The 15577-nt window shown below is 38.1% G+C and overlaps 1 protein-coding gene across 15 annotated transcripts in view; it reads left to right on the forward strand.

The window, feature by feature from the left end:
• ANO4 (anoctamin 4) overlaps positions 1 to 15577 on the forward strand; it is a 411381-nt gene that overhangs the window by 218412 nt on the left and 177392 nt on the right. For all 15 annotated transcript variants that reach the window (XM_011537912.3, XM_011537911.3, XM_047428302.1 and 12 more), the window contains 2 exons: positions 3643 to 3779; positions 6705 to 6863. In XM_011537912.3, the coding sequence (XP_011536214.2) occupies positions 3643 to 3779; positions 6705 to 6863 (296 nt within the window). The remainder of the gene's footprint in view (positions 1 to 3642; positions 3780 to 6704; positions 6864 to 15577) is intronic.

Below are 15577 nucleotides of genomic sequence, written 5' to 3' on the forward strand. Positions count from 1 at the left end.
CTGAGAGCAGGGCCATGCCTGGGCTCTCCAGTACTTCAGCCCCGGTTCCTAGCTCAGCTCAGTGTCTGCCCGTGGTAGGCACTGAATATACTTATTGATTAAAATTTATTTTAAAAATTGGTTAGTGTTGGAAGTTGAGAGTTGCTTTTTTCTTCTTAGAGAATCAATGTAAGTTTGAATCAAAGATTTTATTTTGTTTCTAAAACTTACCTTGTAGTTATAGCTGATAATATCAGAAACAGTGATGAAATATGGATGAAGTGCACATACTTTTTATGCCTGTGGAGTGTTTATATGGTCTACAGTCTTCTTACTGACCACGGGTTCAGCTGGACATTCTCTCACAGCAGACTTTCTAATCTCTGCTGAAGATACTGAGAGGCTGGCAAGTGATAAGGTTGGCTTAGTATCACCTATTGTCTAACAGATTGCCATGACTGACTGATTTCCCTGAGCTCAAGTGGCAGTAGCCCCATGACTTCCAGACAGTGATTCTGATGGGAAAGAAAGAGCTCTCTTCCTTTCCCAAGTTAGCTGCTCCTTCTAGAATCAAATCCCTTGGGCTTTTCATGAAGAGTAGGAATTCTCAACTTCAGCACCAATTAATATTCTAGGCTGGATCACTCTGTGGTAGGGGCTGTCCTGTGCATTGTAGGATGTATAGCGGCATCCCTGGCCTCTACTCACTGAATACCACTTTCACTGTCCCCCTCTCCCCAGTAATGACAATAAATATATCTCCAAACAATGTCAAATATGGTCTGGGAGACAAAACTGGTCCCAGTTGAGAACCACGGACATAGAGGGCATTGTTGAACTGATTGTGCCAGTGCCAGAAAGTAATATTGATAGAAGATGACCTGATATTTTCTATCCTTGGGAAAAGCCTAAGGGGATACATACATATATCAAGAGTTTCTCCTTAGTATGAGCCAGTCACCTAGACATGAACCTCAGTGTCCTTGTTCCCCCTTTATCTCACACCCCGTCCTAAACCATTTCTCATAACAACCATTCCAACTTGTAAATATCTCTTCTGCCTTCTCATATTGATAAGACCAAAATACTCACTTTAAGCTCCCAGAGTCTAGCTAGAATCGACAAATCAGCATTTGTTGTGGGTCTGCCATGTGTCAGTCACCCTGCTAATATGCACATTGATGTAATCCTCTTCGCCACCCTGAGAGAGAAGTTTGCTATTCCTGTCTCACCAGTGAGGAAACAGAAGCACATATTTACACAGCTAAGTGGCAGAGTTCAGAATAGCGAGCAGGTCCTCTGACTTGGTTAAACGATACTTTTATCTTATTGTTCAAATATCATCAACATCGACTTGAAATTTAATTTAATCACTGTCTGCTTGAAAATTTAATCACATTACTTGAAACCATGGAATCCTGGCTTGTGAATAAGAATCATGTTAGGAAAACCATATGCCAAGTCCCAGAACCATAGAATGTTAGAGGAAAAGGGCTCTCAGATATCGTTACATTGTGACCATCTTCAGGTCATCATTCTGTCATTTAACAAATATGTGTTGAAGGCTTACCTGTGCCAGAGCCTCTGTACATCAGTCAAGACAGACAAGGTCCTTGCCCTATGGAACTTACATTGTAATAAGGTAAACATCCAATAAACAAGTCTAATAAATAAATGAACAAATAAGATAATTAAGGATTGTGTTAAGTGCTGGAAATGAAATGAACAATGAGAGGACAACAATTATGGGAGGGAGATCTTTTTACATCCAGTGGTCAGGGAAGTTGTCTTTGATCTTGACAGCTCCCAAAACACTGGACATATTAGTCTTCCTCAAAAAGTGTTAGTTCCTCTCCATAAGCACCTAGCACAGTACCTGGCACAATGTAGGTGCTACAACCCTTGGCTGTATGAAAAGACCATGGTTTTTTTTCTTTGTAGCCTTATAGGTCTAAAATCCTATAATATATTGTTTTAGTTTCCTTTTGGTGCTATAGCAAATGACTACAAGCTTAGTGGCCTCAAACAATATGTTTATTATCTTATACTTCTGGAGGTCAGAAGTCCCAAAATCAAGACTCTCCTCTCTGGAGGCTCCAGGGGAGAATCTGCTTTTTTGTCTTTTCTGTCTTCTAAAAGCCACCCGCGTTTCTTGGCTCGTGGCCGCATCCTGTATCCTCAAAGCCAGCAGCATAGCATCTTCCAATCTTTCTCTCTGATTCTGGCCTTCTTGCCTCCCTCTTCTTAAGACCCTTGTAATTACATCAGGCCTACCTATATACTCTAAGACAATGTCCCCATTTTAAGATCCTTTGTTTCACACATCTATAAAATCCTTTCGGTGATAAAAAGGTAAGATATTAACACGTTCTAGGAATCAGATCACCTTTGGGGGGGTCATAATTCACCCTCTCGTAGTTAGCAATAAATGTTAACTTTATTCCTATGCCCATTATATTTTACAGATGAAAAACTTGGAAAGCTAAAAGTGTTGCCTAAAATCACATGCTTGGATATAGCTTTATACCTGGTCATCTCATCTACGTAGATCATCTCTATTCTCTCTATATCCAAACTCTGCTCTTTTCATTAGAGAATTCACCACAAGTTACGTGTCTTTGTTTTCTTCAGTTATTGCCACAAGGGCAGGAAGCCAGGTCACTTTTATTCACCAAGGTGCAATCATCACACAGCTCTATGCCTGACACACAATGTGCACATCTCTAAAATGTTTTTGAATGAAAGAATGAATACTGTATTACGTGCTTGGGTAAGAAGAACCCAATCCCTCATGAATTATTTTGTGCAGTGGCTTCTGACAGGTTATAAACCCTCAGCCATTTTTAAAGCATCAAAAGAAAAAGTGAACTGCAATGCTGGCCCATAATTGAAGTGGATAAAACAGAAGGGACTCAACCCATATCTTTCCTCTGCTGGTGATGAACTTAAATTTCTGGCGTGCTGTAAGGCACTCTGCATTTGAACGTGGTAGCCTGTACCTAGAACCGTGATATACAGCACTTTATATATTGACATGTTATTAACGTCAACAGTCTTTTGAGAGAGCTTCTGAATGGCTCACTTCATTATTTCAATTCAGGATAAGAGGAAGAAAAAAGGCCAAAAATCTAAGTGCATGCTTTATTGTTGCATTAGGTTTTCTCTGTTCTGTCTTAGAGAAGTAACAAAGGAGGAAAAAAATCACAGTTCTTACTGAATAGTTCAAGTGGCACGTTTATGGGTTCACTTGGCAAGCTATACGACACTTAAATGAAAAAATTAAATTTAATTTAAAAGTATAGGTCATCTCCAACCCTTTTCCAACCTAGAAGTCTTAAATCAAAGTACCTTATGCCAAACAACTATGTGAAGGAAAGCGAAACAAATATAACACCTCCTGCTATCATGGAAGACAAATTATATTTACATTACGGATGTACTTTGCTTTTTATTTTCCTTAATCTTGCCTAATGAATACACTGTTTGGTCAAACATGTTTTATGTCTGACATACTTTTCTTTTAGGAAATAATATGCTTGTCACTCAAGGAGTTAATGAAATGATGAGAAAATATGAACCCAAAGGGAGATGTTTTCTCTTTTAGCATTGCTTTCAAGATCCCAGATTTTTACCCACCTTATAATGTATTTACTTTGGTTCTAGTGGCCAAGGATGTCAATATTCTTTTTGATGAATTAGAAGCTGTCAGCAGTCCTTGCAAAGATGACGATTCTCTTCTTCACCCTGGAAACCTGACTAGTACTTCAGATGATGCCAGCAGATTGGAAGCCGGGGGAGAGGTAAGAGTATATGATTTCTTACAAATGTAATTCGTGATCCAGGCAGGAACCTGTGAAGCATGTTCCAATGGACTGTTTAAAGTCATAATCTCATTGAACTGTAGGCTCTTGTAAAACAAGGGACAGGTTTTATATTCCTTTGACATCCCCCATGTCTAAGCATATTTCAAGGATCCTAAATCTACCTATACACAAAACAAAGTTTCAGTTTTTCTTAAACCTATCATTTTTTTAAACTGTCCGTCATTTTAAGATAGCCTACATTCTTGAGTGTCTCCCACTGGTACAAAATAAACTTTACAGGGATGGGCTTCCTTGTATAGATCCCCCAGTGGGTAGAATAGTGACCTAAAATGCACCAGCCTTCAGTTGATTGTGTTGTCTGAAGTCTCTCTGAGTTTCCATTTGCCTCTGTAATCTGGAAACTTCATTGCAACTGTAAATAGACCTATCTATTTGTGTGCCATTTTGGAAAAATTAGTATTTTTTTTGGAGGCATTCCCCTTTGTTCAGGTTGTGTCTCAATAGAGTTTAATATTTCCTTTGTACATGTACTGGGTACAGGTAATAGGCACACCGAATCAGAGTAATTTATTTATTGCATATTCCTAAGGTTTTTATATTCCAGAGCTAGTTAACTGCTAAAAGGATGACACCTGGAACAGAGAAAATTGTTTACTCTTGCCAAGCTTTGCAGACTTCACCCCACAAACACCATATGCAGCTATCCAAGTTTCTTTTTCTGTTTTTTTTTTTTCTGTTTGTTTCATTAAAAAAAAACACTCATTCTGTTATTATCTGTTTACACAGATACTTTGGAAACCATAATGTGGCGTAAAGAATGGACTTTGAAAGGGACCTCAGACAGCAACTTGTCTCATCCCTGTAACTTACAGATGAGGAAACAGTATCAGAAATATTAGGGCTTTGCCAAAGGTGGCACAGCTCATTGTTCTGCTTGGAGCCAATACCCCTCCTAATGTCTTGGCTGAAGCCATTTTTGAAGGCAGATGCTAATATGCTGAATTCACAGGACAGCCTTCTTGCTTGGCAAATAAGTGTTAACTAAAGTGCTTATTCAGGTAGACTCCTGAGTGTCTCTTAATGTAAAATCCAAAACATAGTGAGGATTGGTCATCAATTGAAAATGTCTACATCAAGACATGGTACATGGTCATTCCATTTCCCCAGCTGAGATGTTTTTTTCGATTAAGGTTTGTGCAAGAATGTGGTTTCTAGCAATGGCCCTTCAGGTCTGGCATGTTTACCTTCTTCATACCACCATTGGAAAAGATAGAATCCACCCATCCACTTGGCTGGGTTTATAGACACAATTTTGAAATCTATTAGGCTGAGAAATTTGGCTCCAGCCCAGTGAGCCCATACTTGATGGTCTCTTTCAATGTTGTACAGCAAGCCCGAAGAGCCTGGATGAAAATTCAATCCACTCCTTTTGTTCTTTACTTTTTAATATTACTGCAAAATAATATTTGTAACTTCTATGTAAGTTACAAAGTATGATAATAAAATGAACACCTGGAACCACCATCTGATTTATGAACCAGAATGCTATTTTTCAAATTATAGTGACAAACTAATTGTAGATTACTAACTCCAGTTTTTTTTTAATGGAATGGAAAATTAATATTGGAGTGTATGAAAACAGAAAGGGTAAACAATTGTTTTGTGAAACTTGTCTCATATTTTGTATATGTATGTTTACATATATGCACACAAAGGTAAAATGTTTTTCTTGTTGTGGGTAAAAAAAAAAAAGAGAAACACTGAACTAGAATATTCCTAAAACCACGGAAGCTACTTTCAATCCCATACCTCTACCCTACCAGAGGTATCATCTTTCTAAATTTTATTGTGTTTTATTCTCTTGCTCTAAAGACAGTTTTACCACATAGATTCGTAGTCTTAACAACTTATATTTAGATTTACTTTATTTTATGCTTTGTAAAAAATGGTATCATGTGGTATGAAGTCTTCTGAGACTTGCTTTTTTTATCAGTGTTGTCTTTAAGATTCATTTTTATTGTTAGATGCAACTATAGTTTATGCATTTTCACTGCTGTATAATATTCCAGTGAATGAACTGTCTATAATTTATTTATCTATTTATTGTCTGTTCATGGACATTTGAGTTGACTCCAACTTTAAACATTTTTCTACTATTATAAGTAATGTTGCCATGAATATTCATATACATGTCTCCTACTTGCCTTATCAAGAATTTTTTCTCTAGGCTTACATGTTATGCACATATTCAGTTTTGCAAGATAATGTTAATGTGTTTTCCAGAGTGAGCATATCAATTTTCACTCTCATCTCACCTGCAGGATATGAAAATCCTTAGTTGCATCACATTCTTGGCTACACACGGTATTTTTAGATGTTTTACATTTTGCGCACTTAACTCAATGCTTCTTCCAATTTTTATTTTGTTTCCTCTTGATTACATTTTTCACTAATGAATATGTAATTGAACACAATGAAAAAAATTATTATTATTATTATTATTATTATTATTATTATTATTTTGAGATGGAGTCTCACTCTGTTGCCCAGGCTGAAGTGCAGTGGCGCGATCTGGGCTCACTGCAACCTCCACCTCCCAGGTTCAAGCAATTCCCCTGCCTCAGCCTCCAGAGTAGCTGGAACTACAGGCACACGCCACCATGCCCAGCTAATTTTTGTATTTTTAATAGAGACAAGGTTTCACCATATTGGCCAGGCTGGTCTCGAACTCCTGACCTCGTGATCCACCCGCCTCGGCCTCCCAAAGTGCTGGGATTACAGGCATGAGCCACCGCACCCGAACTGAAAAAAGTTATTTAGTTTTAATTGTTCTTTAACATTACTCACTTGAACCTCAATTTGATGAATGACTTAAACTGGTCCCTTTCTCTTTGTGTGCAGACAGTGCCAGAAAGAAACAAATCAAATGGACTTTACTTTCGAGATGGAAAGTGTCGAATTGACTACATCCTTGTGTACAGAAAATCCAACCCCCAGACTGAAAAGAGAGAAGTATTTGAAAGAAACATTAGAGCAGAAGGATTGCAAATGGAGAAAGAGGTAAATAGTTTGCTTGGATGAGAAAAAAATATATACATATCTATTCATATGAAGAGGCAATAAGAAATAAGCAAGCAGTCTTAATGTTAACCAAACATTTCATTTGGTCAGAGTTTTCCAGTCTTCAGAGTTTGGGGAATGTTCCAATATTTAGACTTTGACAGCACAGTTTGCTTTTGAGATAATTTTAATGCCAAATGATTCCATGAAAATCAAAATATTCTATTCCAATTAAATGGATTGTTTCAAAGTGTGATTCCTTATCTAACTTCCTACGTCTGCCATTTCTCTGTATATGTAAATGGAGGGTTCTGTTCGCGTGGATTAAAGAAAACTTTGAGTGAAATCCAGTCACTCTCTCTAGAGGCTCTTTTTACATTTCAGGAAATATCATGAGCTTGGGCATCCTCGTACACCAGAGGAGACTGCCTGGCCAATTTGGCCAAAAGCAGCTGGAACTTACAAAAAAGATTCCAGTTTTAAGAGACATTCAGGCTATTTTTTTCAGGTCCCCAAGCTCAAGAGTGCCTTACCAGTGTTTGGTTCTTCCCCTTCCTTCCTTCTCTGCATGGGGAGCTTCAAGGCAGAACTAAGTAAGGAATGTACAAGAGGCCAGCCAGGCCTCTGATAGTAATCCATGATGGGCTTATGGTGTTCTCAGGAATACTGTGCACATTTGTAGAACTTGGCCCGTTAACTGAATTATGTAACTCTTCTCGGCTTCTCCCTAAACATTGTGCAAAGCTTCTGGAGCTTTTCATAGTCAATAAGAACAACACATTGGTAATTTAAGATACTTCTGATTCTGTTCCTCAAGGCTGAGGGGATAGATCTTTGAAGTCAGACATCCAGGTTTTTCTTTGTATGATACAGTTGCAGTTCGTACAACCTGCGAGTTGTGCCAAGGTATCAAATATTAGAAGCATAATATGCATATACTTGTTATCTGATCTTGGGACACTTCAGATAAATGGGATTTTTTTCAGATCTGTTAGGCTGACCTCAGCTCTTGAATGTTTATAACACGGAAGCAGCATTTTTCTGGAATGTCTCCAAGAGAATTGGAAAAATGGTGAGATGAATGTGGCTGTAAGGAAACAGGTTCTTATTCTCAGGAAAGAAGAACCAGCTTTCTCAAAGACCATCTTAATTAGAGGTTCCCTGGTACAACAAACAGAATTAAAAATGTTGTTTCTTCCACCTTTGTGGAGTTCCAGAAAATCTTTCCTATACAAACTGAGTGTATAGTTGATAAATCTTACTCTTTAAGTTCTAAATTGTCTCAGACAATTGCATTTTTTTCTTAACATTAATAGCACATTCATATTTTTCTCCTTAATCATGCCTTCTTCTTTTATTCTCATTCCTAAGTGGCAGAATTTTTATATGAAGAAATAAAAGATCTGAATTGCTACTTAATCTAAAATAATGGAAGTCCTCCCTCTGACCCATTCTGACTCTGTCAAAATTCTGATTCCCATCAAAACTAGATAGCTTTGTTCAATTAATGCAAGATTTATATTTTAAGCTTCATAAGTATTCTCTACAGGCCTAGGGCTTCTTCTGTATAGATCTTTTCAATGTTATTTCGTGATTTATTCGTTAGAACTTAAAAAGCCTAATGCTTTTCCAAATAGCGCACATTAAAGTGATGGAAAGTGTCCTGTTGTGTATCCTAAAGCATCACCTGTACTGCAGTGTTTAGCTACCAGAATTTGAGGAGGATCATGCTGCCTGTTGTACAGTTGTGCTGCACAGTACAGTGTGGAGCATGCTGTGAAGAATGGACTGCTTGTACGATTTTGTCTATATACAAGATAGTTTTGTTTGTTGGAATTTAAAAAAAAAATTTTAACAGGTATTTATTTTAATGTGTACTGGAAAAAATAGCAATTGGAAAAAGGGAATTATCACTATATGGCAAAACATCATAAAAACTTATCTAAGCATTTCCCCCCTCCCCACTTTCCCCCAAAAGTTCTTCTCTGGGCATCACCTTCCATATTTCTCCTTTCCTCCACAATCTTTTAGACACTACAAACAGTTAGGTCTTCCCCTTTCTGGAACCTTCTTCACAAGTGACCTCTCCCGCTGCCTGGCTCGAGTCTTGCCCTGACTTTGCATAAATGGTGCAATTTCTCTCTAATGCAGCCTCCCAGCTCTGCTTTGCATCTTCGTGGACTCAGTCAGCTCAGCAAGAAAAGGGCCTTTGCAGGTTCTCTTATAGATAAATTAATTTTTCCCTGCCATAAATAATTAAAAGAAAATATCCCTTGGCTGAACAGTAAACAAACCTTCATCCTTTATTCTCATAATAAGTGGCAGAATTTTTATATGAAGTATCTACATTGTATTATTAAATTTAGAAACCGTTGGAAGTATTTTTATTTAAATCAAGTTTTTTATAAGCAGCTACAGCAGAAAGACAATTTTAATGGCGATTTCAGCTTCCAGGAGTTAATTCAACCTTTTATAGGACATAAAATGAAGAACTTAGTTCAGGGTGGAAAAGAAGAAACACCCTAGGGACCCTTGTATATCTGAAACGTTTGACACTATGCACATTTTATGAATTATTAGTATCTTCTTAATTAGCTGTTGTCATGATGTCTAACAATTATGAAAAACATGTTTCACAGACAGATGCTTATGTTTCCAAATAGACAAAGACAGGCTTTCTAGTTCAGTTTAACATCCTTATCTCTTTAACATTGAATTTCAAGAAACACAACTAGGATAATCTTTAATTCATGATAAAAGTGAGGACATAGTCAAGTTTAATCTTTCTTAAAACCTTTGCTCCAGGCTGATTAGTCAACACATAAGTGCTTGCTTTGGTACCCTGGGTCTTTAATATTCTGCAATTCAACTTTCATAATAGCCCAGAGAAAGCAATTCACAACAAAGTTCCCAAACAAAATATCATTGAAGTCCAGGTGATTTACTTCTTAGTATCTATCCACTTAAAGTGATTCCCTTCTTAAAGGTAAGCTCATATTTACTAATTAACATTTTCTATTTCTGATTTTTTCATTTTTAATTCTATGTCCATTATTGATCTTTGGATACCTATTTTGAAATCATTGTCCTCAATAAGACATTTATCTTTTCTTTTGTATAACTAGTAAGAGGATGAGTTAACTTTGAATTATTTGGAATGTGTGAGTAACAGTTGTACTAATGGAGCACCCTCCCGCTTCAGAATCATGTGAAACATTGGGGAAGACCTTTATCATTACAGTCCTTACAAAACTAATATAATTAGGTAAATCATATCATCTTGATGATGGTTATTTCATTCAAAAAATATTTATTGCACACTCACTCTATGCCAGGCATTGCTTTAAGGACTAGGATCTCAGCAGCAACAAATAAAACAGAAAAAAAAATCCCTGCTTTGTTGGAACTTAAACAAAAAATATGTACAACATATACAAATATCAGTAAGTGCTAAAGAGAAAAAAGTAAAGCAGGAAGTGTTGAGAGGGGCTTGCAATTTTATAAAAGTCAGCAAGAGTGGGCCTCTTTTCCACAGAAAGAGAATAGCAAGTGCAAAGAGAACAGCTCCACAGGATGGAGCATGCCTGGTGTGTTCATGGAACAGTGAGGATGCCAGTATGACTGGAGTTCACTGAGCAAGGTGAAGAATAGTGAGAAATTACACCAACAAGGCAGTGGAAGCCTTAGTGATCACTGGGGGATGTTAGCTTTTCTCTGAGTGACATAGGAAGCCACTGGAGAGATTTGAGCAGAAATATAAGATCTGTTTTCTGTTTTAATAAGGGCATTCGGGTTGCCTGGTAAGATTAGACTGTGAGGGGTGGAGGTGGCAAGGGCAGAAGCAGGGAGAATAATTAGGAGATTCGTTGCAAGAATCCAGGAAAGAGATGATGGTAGCTTGGTCAAGCACATAGAAGAGAGGAAGATGAGAAGAGTAGAAAGTAGCACTGATGGGAATTGCAGACAGATTGAATGGGCAGTGTAAAAAAGAAGAGTCACAGACTATTTGTCTGACACATGGTATTTATCTAAGCAGTTGGGAGAAGACAGTTGCCACTTACAGGGATGCGGAAAAGAGTAGGTCAAATTGTAGACTTGTTAAGATTGAGATATCCCAATGGAGATGTTGGGTAAGATAGAAGAGTCTGGGATTCAAGGAGAGATCTGGACTAGAGATACACATTTGAATGAGATCTCCAAAGGAGTAACTGCAAATAAAAATGAGAAGAGGTCCAAGGATTGAGCCATGGGGAACACTAGTGTTACAATTTGGATGATAAAAAGGAGGCAGCAGAAGAGACTAAGAAGGAGTCACCAAGGAGCTAGAAGGAAAATCTAGAGTGTGTGGTTCAGGAGAGATGGAGGAATCAACTGTGTCAAATGCTGCTGATGGGGTGTGTACGATCAAAGCTGAAAGTTAATTATTGGATTTAGCAATATGGCAGGTTTGGGTGGTCTGGGCAAGAGAAGTTTCAGTGGAGAAGTCAGGGGTGAAAGCTTCATTAAAGTGTCTTCAAGAAAGAATGGGAAGAGAAAATACAGAGACAACGAATACAAACAGTTCTTTCAATATGTTTCACTGTAAAGGAATGGAGAGAAATAGAATGATAACTGGAGTATGAAGTTTGGTCAATAAAGAGTTCTTTCTATTTTAGATGGGAGAAATAAATACATGTTTTTATGCTAATACAAACTATATATTTGAGATGGAAAATTGATGTTGGGAAAGAGTGGAGGAAGAATTTTTAGAGAAATGTCCTTGAAGCAATAAGAAAAGAATGACCACAAGTATCTCCCATTGCATGGACTCACCTATCTGCCTCTGTGCCCACAAATGCCACCCTTCCCCAGTGCTAAGGGTGTCCTGTCCATACTCATTGGTAAGGCCAACCCTTCACTTTGCTTCTAAGACCCCATACCTTCTCAGTCCCACTCAAATACATTGCTTCCAAAAGAGATAAAATGTAGTACGCTTTAAAAACTGAAATGCACAAACAATACAATTTGTGGAAGTAGTTTGTTTCTGTTTGCACTCATCTCTCAGAAGGAGTGAAAAATCCAACTGCAGTAAACACACACACACATGCATGAGCACATGTGGGTGCACAGTCGAGGTTGAATATCTTGGATACTTCTGTGTAATATGATACAAATTACATTATCAAAATTTTTATGCTCACATTTATTAATCACTTACTATTATAATTTCCATTTAACAGATGAGACCATTGGTAACTTGCCCCAGACAACATAAGTAGTAAGAGATAAAGCCATTATTAAAACCTAAGCATACTTGCTCTTTGCCCTTATATTGTGTTGATTTCTGGTATCTAAAGGTGAATTTCAGGGTTAAAGAAGTTAGGAGAGGCAGGGCATGGTGGCTCATGCCTATAATCCCAGCACTTTGGGAGGCCAAGGCGGGCGGATCACGAGGTCAGGAGATTGAGACCATCCTGGCTAACATGGTGAAACCCTGTCTTTACTAAAAATACAACAACAACAAAAAAAATTAGCCGGCTGTGGTGGCGGACGCCTGTAGTCCCAGCTACTCGGGAGGCTGAGCTGAGATCATGCCACTGCACTGCAGCCTGGGTGACAGAGCAAGACTTCGTCTCAAAAAAAAAAAAAAAAAAAAAAAAAAAAGTTAGGAGACAGGCTGAGAAGACAAGTAGTGTTATGAAAAGGAAAAGGTAAAGGAACAAGGAAAATTGGGATGAATAATGAAGTTGGGTGCTGCCCAGACTGTGGTTCTTATGCCTCTAGTAGCCATAGACTTGAATCTTGGTACATAACCACTTACAAGCTGAGTGGTCATGGGCAATTTATCAGATTTTTATGGATCTCTGTTTCCATTGTTAATCCTGAAGGTGATATAATTTATCGTAAATGATGAAGATTAAGTGGACCTATATATAGTGCCAATCTTTGTTTTTCCTAATTTTTACTTTTAAATTTCATATTATTGTTTTACTTCCAGTGTAAGTTGTTCAGCTACCTTCTATTTATGGCAAGTGATATTTGTTTTCCCTTTATGACTGATATAAAAGCTTTTTGTAAAATGATTATTTAAAAAAGGGAGTTATTTAAAGAAATATACAAAATTAAGATATTGTAGATGGTATTACAAATTTGACAAAAATTGTGAAGGTGGCCCGCGAATGATAGCATTCTGTGTTACTTAGCTAGTCCTTGTGGTGGACAGACTCTAAAGTCTGTGATGCCTGCTTCCTTTTCACACCTTCCCTTCCCCCTGAGTTCAGGTGGGACCTGTGGCTTATATTTAACCAATAGAATATGGCTTTTGCTATCATAGAATATGACAAATTTAATGGGATGTCACTCCTGTGATTATCTTATATGGTGTATAAGATCTCATCTCAGCAGACTGGCGTCAGAGAGACCCTCCTTGCTGGCTTTGAAGAAGTAAGCTACCATATTGTGAGACAGCCTATGAAGAGGGCCACCTAGCAAAGAAAGGTGGGGTGGCCTCTAGGAGCTGGCATCCAGCTGACGTCCAGCAACAAGCAGGGATCTTAGTCCTACAACCACAAGGAGATGAATTCTGCCAATAACTGAGAATCCTGGAAGCAGGTCTTTCTTCAGTTGAGCCACTGATGAGACTACAGCCCCAGGCAAGACCTACATCATAGCCTGGTGAGACCCTAAAGCAGAGAACCCAGCTCAGCTGTGCCTGACTTCCACCCTCTAGAAACTGTGAGATAATTAATATGTGTAGTTGTAAGCCTCCAAGCCTATAGTAATTTATTATGCAACAATAGATAATTAATACAGTGATTAAAAGTCTGGGATCACACATTCTGAGTGTTCATTTGGTTCTACCATTACAAGCTGTGTGCCCTTGTAAAAGTTAACTTATCTGCAAAATGAGGCTAATAATGGGATTTATCTCATGGGTTATTTTAATTAAGTGAGATCATTTATATCGAGTGCTTATCTCTGTGCCTTTTATATGGTAAGCATTTAGTAAACTTCATTATTATCATCATTACTGTTATCATAACGGCTAAATACAACGTGTTAACACTTTTATTTTGGAATAGTTTTCAAGGTAAACTTTAAGAAAAATTTTCATCCAGTTTACAAATTCTTTATAACGCAACCATTAGGAATAGCAACATCAGTGGGTCATATATTGTTACTGTGTATGCATTAATGAGATTTATAATTTAATGCTCTTGGAAGAACTCGGAATACATTTGGTAACAAGTTTAGCATGATCAAGGTTCAGATGTTTATCTGCTTGGAGAGGATTTGGTTTTAGATTCATCTGGGTATAAAGTTATAGATCAATTCAGAGCTAAACAACAATAGTAACAACAACAACAAAAACTGTATTTGATTGTCCATCCCAGTGTTTCTTTACCCCCATTCAAAGGAAATCTTCACAAAGATTTCCCCACTTAAAGAGCTAATCTCATGCAGATGGCTCTGTTCCCTTGTAGACTTCCTGCCCAAATTACCCTAATTTCATCCCCATTTATATACTGCAGCCACATCCAGCTTGTTGCTGTAGATGCTCTCTCAGCATCCAGAACTCCGAGGATACAAGAACGACAACATCCTCCCTTCCTTCACAGTTGAAAACATGATGATGAGTGTCTCAAATAAATGAGTGTCAGGACTATGTGCACTACCCAGATTTCTGTCCTCTAGGGCTTTCTGGTCAGAAAAGAAAAAAAAAGAAAAAGAAAATCAGACTTTTCTCCACCCAATAATCTCCACTTTACTCCACTCAATCTTCTTATATGTCACACACTTGTATTACCAAGGGTCTCAAGTTAAGGTGACAAGAAAGGAGAATTTAGGACAGTCATAACCAAAGAAGGAAGAAAGCAGATTTTCTTCTGAACCTCAGAGCCCTGGCGATTCCTTGAGTGTCTTTCAGGAGCTACCAATGTCAGTCCACACTTGTGGTGGCTTTTCTGTTAACTTGAGTCTTAGGCTGGATTTCCAAAGCATAAGCAGAACTTGAGGTGAGAATTCTTCCTCAAGTTGTTGATGGGTGGGGCAATCTCAGGAGAAAGGGGCATGAGAGGAGCAGAAGAGAACAGCTAAGCCAAAAGCATGGCCTCAGCTGGACACTACCTTCAGCCTGATCCCACAGGGGAACTCGGTAATCAGCAGGTGCAGCACAGAGCTGGTCTACTTTTCAGACACGGGCCCCCACGTCAGTCAGTCATTGGCTGAGGTCTGTGAAGGTGGTGAGAGGTAGGCACTGTCCGTTTGGCTGAGGATCATTCTGGGTACCAGCAGCATACATTACCACTGGTATTGAATTAGTAGTAGAGATGCTGCCAAATCTGTGGTATTCAGACAGCACTTTTTGAGATGCCAGCAAACATGAAATTCATGGGGGTCCTTGACCAAGTGAAGAGAGAACAAGTACACATTGGAATTTCTTCTGTTTTAATTTGTCAAGTTGTTCTTCTAATTTTAGGATGCTATTTCTCAAAGGTAAAGATTCCATGTTGCTAGTGTAATCACTTTGAGGGAGGACATACATGTGGCCAACAAGCATATTAAAAGCTCAATATCACTAATCATTAGAGAAATGTAAATTAAAACCACAATGAGATACCATCTCACACCAGTCAGAATGGCTATTATTAATACTAAAAAGTCAAAAAATAACAGATGTTGGCAAAGTTGTGGAGAAAAGGGAATGTTTAGACACTGCTGGTGGGAGTGTCAGT

The sequence above is a fragment of the Homo sapiens genome, chromosome 12 (assembly GCF_000001405.40).
Source record: "Homo sapiens chromosome 12, GRCh38.p14 Primary Assembly".
NCBI classification, from domain to species: Eukaryota; Metazoa; Chordata; class Mammalia; order Primates; family Hominidae; genus Homo; species Homo sapiens.